The sequence below is a fragment of the Homo sapiens genome, chromosome 3 (assembly GCF_000001405.40).
Source record: "Homo sapiens chromosome 3, GRCh38.p14 Primary Assembly".
Taxonomy (NCBI): Eukaryota; Metazoa; Chordata; class Mammalia; order Primates; family Hominidae; genus Homo; species Homo sapiens.
In genome coordinates this window covers 32947589-32956602 of record NC_000003.12, presented here as the reverse complement: position 1 = coordinate 32956602, position 9014 = coordinate 32947589, and the positions used below count along the sequence as shown (strand labels likewise).

The window sequence follows — 9014 nt, the reverse complement described above, 5'->3', positions numbered from 1 at the left end:
GGGCGTGGTGGCAGGCGCCTGTAATCCCAGCTACTTGGGAGGCTGAAGCAGGAGAATCACTTGAACCCAGGAGGCGGAGTTGCAGTGAGCCAAGATCGTGCCATTGCACTCCAGCCTGGGCGACAAGAGCAAAACTCTGTCTCAAAAACAAAAACAAAAACAAAAAACTAGGGCCAATATTTTAAGAGAGGATGACACTTTTCACAATTTCATAATTTTTTAACAACCATATTTATACAGTGTCAACAATAACTTTTAGTTGATTGTTTTTATTTCAATTGATAGCAGGCACTTCAAAATGATTAAGGAGGTATTGTCATACTTTATTAATCCTTAATTTTAATTATGAAGAGACTGTTTATAAACAAGTAAAAGACCTTGGCTGGGCGAGGTGGCTCACGCCTGTAATCCCAGCACTTTGGGAGGCTGAAGCAGGCAGATCACCTGAGGTCAGGAGTTCAAGACTAGCCTGGCCAATATGGTGAAACCCCATCTCTACTAAAAATACAAAAATTAGCCTGGCGTAGTGGTGCACACCTCTAATCCCAGCTGCTTGAGAAGCTGAGGCAGGAGAATCGCTTGAACCTGGGAGGCAGACTTTGCAGTGAACCGAGTGCCACTGCACTCCAGCTTGGGTGACAGAGTGAGACTCCATCTCAAAAATAAAATAAAATAAAATAAAAAATAAACAAGTGGCCGGGCGTGATGGCTCACACCTGTAATCCCAGCACTTTGGGAGGCCGAGGCGGGTGGATCACGAGGTCAGGAGATTAAAACCATCCTTGCTAACATGGTGAAACCCCATCTCTACTGAAAATACAAAAAATTAGCCAGGCATGGGGGCAGGTGCCTGTAGTCCCACCTACTTGGGAGGCTGAGGCAGGAGAATGGTGCGAACCCGTGAGGCAGAGCTTGCAGTGAGCCGAGATCGCGCCACTGCACTCCAGACTGGGTGACAGAGCAAGATTCCATCTCAAAAAAAAAAAAAAAAAAAAAAACAAGTAAATGACCTCAAATAAATGTATTCTTGGCCTATGTATTATTTAATTTTTTTTTTTTTTTTTTGAGACAGAGTTTCGCTCTTTTTGCCCAGGTTGGAGTACAATGGCGCGATCTCGGCTCACCGCAACCTCCACCTCCCGGATTCAAGTTATTCTCCAGCCTCAGCCTCCTGAGTAGCTGGGATTACAGGCATGCGCCACCACACCTGGCTAATTTTGTATTTTTTAGTAGAGACAGGGTTTCTCCATGTTGGCCAGGCTGGTCTCGAACTCCTGACCTCAGGTGATCCGCCCACCTTGGCCTCCCACAGTGCTGGGATTACAGGCCACCGTGCCCAGCCTATTTAAAATTTTTTAATATTCCTCTGTTAAAATTAGAACAAAACATGTCCACAAACAAGTGAGAAACTGTGTTTGAATTTTCATAAATATGTTTGGATTTTGAATGCCTTGTAGTTCACGTTTGGAAAGCAGACCTTGGCTAATGTCTTCATATCCTTACCCTTATATCAGTATAAAAAGTTTGGTTTCAATTAACAGATAATCCTTTACAATAAATAATTGAGATCTGGTTTCATCACTTCGCTAATTGTTTCTTCATACATCTGGCTCAATGGAATATACTTTGCCTGAGATATGTTATTAGAAAAACAGTTATCTATATTGTTCCGCAAAAGCAAGAAATTAATTAGAGGGCCCATTTGCCACAGCAAAAGGTAGCGATTTACTCCATCAGCCAGTACTCTGCAATTCCCTCTGGAGAAACCCATCAGTTCAGGTTAGAAGGGAATAGTCTTTGCCTTGCAATATTACCTACAACTTCATTCAAGCACTGCTCAGAGTTCTCATCAGACTGACTCATGCCTGCAGGCAAGCCTGGTGTGAGGAAGGATGCCTCAGCCCAGGTGAACCCTTGCCAGGCTGGACTTGTCTAGTGGGAGAGAAAAAGCTGCCTGCAGGATGAGAAGCTGTCTTTCCACTGTGGGTGTAAGCCTTCCTCCTGACACTGGCTCAGGAATCTCTTACTAAAATACAATTTTAAGTAAGCTCTGAATGTGGAAAGTTCATTGACTCTGCATTTCACCATTTCATTTTTCTACAGAGCATCATGGAGATCATGATCCATGGTGGACTGCGTGTAAGATGAGCTGGGGGTGTCAGCAGAGTAAATTTGGAGGAGCCCACAGTATTGGCAGAGCACAAAAAGGCCCCTGCAGGTTTTGAAGAGCTGTAGGATGTACTTGCGAAATTTCTCCCCCAGAAAAAAGTAGATGATGGGATTAAGGCAGCAGTGAACAAAAGCCAGAGTTTCTGTGGCCTGGATGGCATAGTCCAAGTATCTTTCAAAGGTGCAGTCCTGAAGGACTTCTAGCTCCACCAGGGTCTCTAGGAAGAGCACTATGTTGTAAGGTGTCCAGAACCCAAGGAAGAGGACCACCACGGCAAAGATCATCTTCACCGCCTTGTTCTTCTTCTCATTTTTACAATGCTGCAAGGTCCTGATGATCATGGAGTAGCAAAACAGCATGATCCCTAAGGGGATCACCAATCCGAGAATGTTGATTTCCAGGGAGCTGAGAACCTTCCACGTCGTGGAGTTGAGAGAGTACTTGGTTTTGCAGTAGGTATGGTTGCGCTCAGTATAACAAGTGCTGAACAGAAAGCCAGGAAGGGAGGCGAACACAGCCACTGACCATGTAGCCAAACTGGTGATGACCCCATAAGTCAAGGTCCTTGCCCTCAAGGAAAACACCGCGTGCACAATTGCCAGGTATCTATCAATGCTCATGAGCATGACAAAGAATATGCCACTGTAAAAGCCCACCAAGTACATCCAGGAAATCATCTTGCACAGACCTAGCCCAAAAACCCACTGGTCTGCTGCATAGTAGCCCCAAAAAGGGAGGGAAAACACGAAGAGCAGATCCGAGATGGCAAGGTTGAGCAGGTACACATCAGTCATGGACCTGAGCCGCTTGTATTTGAACAGGACCAGAACCACCACAGAATTTCCAAGCAGACCAAATACAAAAACCAAGGAATACAGTGGGGGCAGGAAGAGCTCCCCAAATGCCTTGATGCCTTCTTTGGTGCAAGGCTTGGGGATACTTTCATACAGATAGTAATTGCTGTATATGCTTTCATCGAGGGTGGTGTCTGCTATATCCGTGGGGTTCATTTTTTAACTCTACAGGCTCCTCAAGGCAGGTCTGGGCCCAACCAGAAGCAGCTAATGAGGGGAAGAGCAAAGGAGATTTCTGTGAGAACAAAAATAAACCAAAGTATTGCTAAATGCAGAGCATGGCTGCGTACTGTTTTGCTCCAGGTCTGTATATGCCTTTCCCAAGATGAAGGGCTCGATTACTCACAGGGCCCTGCAGCCAGACGAAATAATTTTGGGCTTTGGAGGCAGAAAGATTTGTTTCAGATTCCAGCTTGGGCACTCACTAATTTTCTTACCTCTCTGCCAGGAGCTTCAGTTCTCTCATTTGTAAGTGAGGATCGTAAAACCCCCTTTCAAGCAGGTGTTCTTTGAGGATGTGTTTCAAAAAGATATTTCATAGTCTGGGGTTACTGAAATCACTTTCAGGGATGACAAAATCAGTTGAACAATTCTCAATTGGGTGTATTTTATATGATCATGATCATCATCAAACTGCACGTAAAAATCAATTCTACGCACAGAATCCTATTAGAGTGGGAATTCACCTGATGGATCTAGAAAACACACATCACAGCCAGAAATAAAACCTCTACCTCCCCAACCACCTTCACTTCCTATCTAAATTGGCAGATAAAGAGGTTGAAATCTTCTTAAAATTAATCACATGCTGACATGTGTATCAGAGCAATTCAGGGCTGAAGGGCTTTCCGACTCAAGGCCACTCCCTTGCTTCCTTCTTGAGGCTTTTGTGGGACCCTCACATTCCTTGTTAAAATCCTTTTCACATTCGTCAGTAAATTCACATTCGATCTCTCCCCACACCCCCACCACCACACACCCAATGCCCAAACTGTGTTTCTCAAGAAAGGGCTTTTGAAGCCAGGTGTGCAGTGGCCCACGCCTATAATCCCAGCACGTCGGGAGGCCGAGGAGGGAGGATCACTTGAGCCAAGGAGCTCCATGCCAGCGTGAGCAACATAAGGAGACCCTGTCTCTACAAAAAATTGTTTTAAAAGTTAGCTGGGTGTGGTGGTACGTGCTGATAGTACCAGCTACTCAGGAGGCTGAGGCAGGAGGATCCCTTGAGCCCAGGAGTTCAAGGCGCAGTGAGCTATGATGGCACCATTGCACTTCAACCTGGGCAGCAGAGTGAAATCCTGTCTCAAAAAAAATAAAAAATAAAAAGGAAAGAAAAGAAAAAGAAAAAAAGAAAGAAAAAAGATTTTGGTTTACTCATGCAAATAGATACTGAACACCTGTTACATCACAGAGTCTCCAAAAAAGTTTGTTGAATGACTAACAATTCTAGTCTTTCTCCACCATTTTACCAGTGAAAATGAAAGGCATAAACAAGGCTGAGGAGTTAGGAAATTATCAGGAGAACAAAAAGCCAGGAGACACAGCTGGTAAGTGTCTGGAATTATTCTGTAGGCCTTGCGTGTGTGGTATTTCTTGCCTGGGAGTCTTGCTAGAAGCAAGAAGCAGACAAGTGTATATTTTTTATGAAAATGATCTATTTATTTGGGGCATGTGGACTCAGGCCAGATGTGTGCAGGAAGAGAGTCCTGCATAAATTAGTGCCCATCAGATGAGGGCTCAGAGGGTGTGGGGACAGGTAGAAGGTGTGTGGGCTGCAAGGTAGGTGCCAAGTGTAAGCCCTAGACTCGTGAGGGGCCTGAGCATCTCAGCCAGGTCCAGAAAGCAGTGTGCGACCCAAGACCCTGGGAATGTCCCCGTCCCTGCTTACCTTGCTTTTCTGAAAGCGGCTCTGAGGAAGGTCTGTGAGGCAATGCCAGGCTTGCTCAGGAAGCACGATGCTAAGAAGGACCCGGTGCCTTTCAAGGGTGCGTGGCTTCCTGTGAGCACGAGTTATCTCCCTCACCCAACTGTACTAAGTTCAAGTGGGGTTTTTTGATAGAAGTAGGAAGCAGAAAATGATTCTTAGTCATTTCCCAAGACCGAAGGCCAAGAAGATGTGCCAAAAAAAGATTAAGAAAAAAAATGAAGTCATTTTCTTTTTAAAAAAGATTTTTAGTTTTTTTAAAAATACAAAAATGTATTTGTTGGTTTTTAAAAAAGAGATTTTTTTAAAGAAACAGGGTCTCACTCTGTCACCCAGACTGGTGTTCAGTGGTGCAATCATAGCTCACCGTAACCTTGAACTCCTGGGCTCAAGTGATCCTCCTGCCTTAGTCTCCCAAGTAGCTGAGACTAGAGGTGCAAGCCACCATGACTGACTAATTTTAATTTTTGGGGAGATAGGGGTCTTGCTATATTGCCCAGGCTCATCTTGAACTACTGGCCTCAAGCAATCCTCCCACCTCAGCTTCCTAAAGCACTGGGATTACAGGAATCAGCCACTCCTTTTTCGCTTTTTAGTTTAAAAAAAAAAATTCCATTTAACTGGCCATATGCGGTAGCAATGATCTCTACATTTTGGATCAGCAACCTGTTTGCTAGTTTCTCATCATGGATATGCAGGGGCCAGCAATCAAGATGTGCAATGTTCTCCTGACAACTGGGATCTGAGAGGCCAGGGTGAGAAGGAAGGCCAGAGATAGTCAAGAAAAAGGATATTCAAGAAGAGAGAAGAGAAAAATTTGTCCAAATGTATGTGTCTGTGAGTGACTTGGAAGGCATCAGCCAACCACATTCTTTGATTCAATAGTTGACATGGCCTCAAACCAGTGTGAAGTGGCCTGGCAACATAGCTTCAAGTCCTTTTGAGTCAGGAAGACCCCTCACCCAAGCGCCTTCTGCTTGGGGATTGCGGAGCTTCATTGGCAGTGGTCTTGGCTGAGGTCTTGATCTTCACTTTGGATGTGGGTAGCAGTCATAAGCGAGGGGCTGACATGAGCCCTAAGTCTCTCATAGCCTCAGCTTTTTGGCAACTTCCAGATGCTTTCCCTGTGTTTCAACTGTTGCTTAGCTCTTTGATTCAGCTTAAAAGAGCCATAAAGATCATTCTTTCTAAGGAATTGGCATAAATAGAAATTAAAACACTGAGCTAGAATGGTGTTAGGGAACCCCTTCTTTTTTTTCATTATCACTTGCCCCAAGGAGTCTTTTGAGACTTTTTTTCCTAACACTCCCTCATAAAATTTTAATGCTACAAACATACCATATATCTATTTATACAGTGTATGTATATCTGTGCTTTATACATAAAATGAGTATGAAATTTTTCTCCCTCCAAGAGCCAAGTTTTATCTTGGGGGCAATATTGCCTCTACTGAGAATGCACGAGTTAGAGTAGAGAGTAGAGGCACTCAACTCAGGCTCCTTGCCTCCTTGAGGCATACAGCAATATCTGGAGACATTTTAGCTTGGGGTGGGAGGGAGTTACTACTGGCTTTTTTTTTTTTTTTTTGAGAAGGAGTCTTGCTCTGTCACCAGGCTGGAGTGCAGTGGCATGATCTCAGCTCACTGCAACCTCCGCCTCCCGGGTTCAAGCAACTCCCCTGCCTCAGCCTCCCAAGTAGCTGGGACTACAGGCACGCGCCACCATGTCCGGCTAATTTTTTGTATTTCAGTAGAGACGGGGTTTCACCATGTTGGCCAGGATGGTCTTGAACTCCTGACCTCAGGTGATCTGCCTGCCTCAGCCTCCCAAAGTGCTGGGATTATAGGCATGAGCCACCGCACCCAGCCTGCTACTGGTTTCTAATGGGTAGAGTCCAGGAATGCTGCTAAAGTCCTACAATGCACAGGACAGCCCACCACAGCAAAGAGTTGTCTGACCAAGAAGATCAATGGTGCTGAGGTTGAGAAATCCTGAGCTAGAGCAATGAGCTAGAGCAATGTTCCCCAGAGTATAAACTGTGGAACCAGATTCATGGATAGCCTGCAAAAGAGAAATGGGGATGTGTGGTCAGGTAGGTCTAGGGAATGCTGGGCTTGGGTTCAGGTTAAACACAGTTCCATCCTGCAATGCTTCCTGGGGGCCTTCCAATGCTGATATCATCCTGAGCCTCTGGAAGGAGGATTTGCAATGAAAATGTCCCACGTGTATTTGACCAGCTAATCTATGCCCATTATACAGAGTAATTTATAAAATGAACATATTTCCAGAAACATGGGGCCTGAAGAAGTTTCTGCCATTAAATTATAGACTTTGAGGTACAAGTTAGAGAGCTGGCCGGGGGCGAAGTGTGAAGGGCAGGAAAGCACGTGCCGCGGCAGGGACCTGGGCAAGTTCATCTGAGCACAACGCCTACATCTCCATGGGTTCTGCCCTGGGTGGGGGCAGTGTTAAGGTTCTAGAACATACGCTATCTAGAGGTCCAAATCATCATAAATGAGCATTGATCCATATGGGTCTATAGATGATCCCTGGAGAGCCAGTTAGTCCTCCCTTGAGTGAACCTGGCCATGAGACATGCATCCTGGTCCCATGAGTGAGGCAGAGTGTGAGCTCTAGTGGCCCCATTGGTCGAGAGGACTTGCTTTGAGTCTGAGTTTGGATCTCAGTATCACCACTTACTAGCTGTGTAAACCTAAATTTTCTTATCTGTAAAAAGGGATGATAATACTTGAGGACTGTGAGGGAACTAAATGAGCTAATATTTGTAAAGCACTTAGCATAGTGGCTGGTATATACAGGTGTTCAACAACGCAGCAGCAGTGATTAGAAATGAGTAGGATAAATACTATACACAGGAATAGCTTCCTCTCTTGAAATAGCCTAGCCCAGAGCATGCCCTTGGCCATTGCTGGGATCCCAGGAAATATTTGGATTTAGACTTTTTGGGCCACATTCAATTTCCAAGTCAGGGTTCAGGTAAAAAACAGGTTTCAGGTTTCCAAGTTGCAGAGGTTACTGCCCTGGGGACAGTCAGTCTTCAGGTTGGCAAAGTAACAACATTACTGTCCTGGAGAAACACTAAGTAGGTGTCCCTTCAGTAAGGGTTTCAAAATTAAACATCCAAAAAAAAGGACCTCAGCCCCCAAAAAAGAGTCTTTTTCTCCCCCCAAGACGGAGTTTCGCTTTTGTTGCCCAGCCTGGAGTGCAGTGGCACAACCTTGCCTCACTGCAACATCCACCTCCCCAGTTCAAGGGATTCTCCTGCCTCAGCCTCCCAAGTAGCTGGGATTACAGGCGCCTGCCACCACACCTGGCTAATTTTTTTGTATTTTTAGTAGAGATGGGGTTTCACCATTTTGTTCAGGCGGGTCTCGAACTCCTGACCTCAGATGTCCACCCGCCTCGGCCTCCCAAAGTGCTGAGGTTACAGGCATGAGTCACCACTCCCAGCCAGAATCATTGTTTTATTAATGCCCATTTCATAGATGGAGAAGTAGGAACCCAGAGACGGGAGGTGGTATGCTCAAGGCAACCCAGCCAGTGAGGAACACTGTCAGGGCTACACTCACACTCCTGACATTTACATGGACACATGTTCCATTAGGCTTCGTTTCTGAAACCTAAGCAGAAAGGAGCAGGCCAACAAAAGACTCTGCAAAGCCTACCCCAAACCATGTTGGTACACAGTACAGCGCATGCTTCCAACACGAAGGAAAGCTGGAACATGAGACTACAGCGCCCCCTGGTGCATCAAGCCTTATTTCAAGGTCAAAGTCATCAAGGTACATTGCCCAGGCTCTGGCACCATACCAACCCACAGGGACCAGCATATCTGAAATTGTGCCTTCAAGAGGAGCACCACAGGACTCAGCTGCAGAGCTACGGTGATTAGGCCTTCAAACCTGTTATTTACAGCTCAAAATGAGAAGCCTGCCAGGCAGGGCCACACCAGGAGTAACAGGGACAAGGTAACAATGAGCCGGAGCTGTAGGGGCAGTTAATGTATGGCAAGCATGTGAGGTTACTTAGCAGTTTATGTGTGGCA

The 9014-nt window shown here is 45.6% G+C and overlaps 1 protein-coding gene across 2 annotated transcripts; it reads right to left on the bottom strand.

Moving 5' to 3' along the window:
• Positions 1-253: 253 nt before the first annotated feature.
• Positions 254-4959, bottom strand: CCR4 (C-C motif chemokine receptor 4). Of its 2 annotated transcripts, none has more exons than NM_005508.5 (2): positions 4913-4959; positions 254-3231 (listed from the first exon to the last, which is right to left on the bottom strand). In NM_005508.5, the coding sequence occupies exon 2, from the start codon at positions 3178-3180 to the stop codon at positions 2098-2100; it is 1083 nt and encodes a 360-aa protein (NP_005499.1). In that variant the 5' UTR covers positions 3181-3231; positions 4913-4959; the 3' UTR covers positions 254-2097. The 2 variants fall into 2 exon arrangements, with proteins under 2 accessions (NP_005499.1, XP_016861176.1); XM_017005687.2 differs by having other exon boundaries at positions 1292-3259.
• Between the last annotated feature and the right edge of the window lie 4055 nt (positions 4960-9014).

What these genes read in the sequence shown, in the direction of transcription:
- CCR4 (NM_005508.5), bottom strand. Translation starts at nt 3,180, where the DNA reads ATGAACCCCACGGATATAGCAGACACCACCCTCGATGAAAGCATATAC.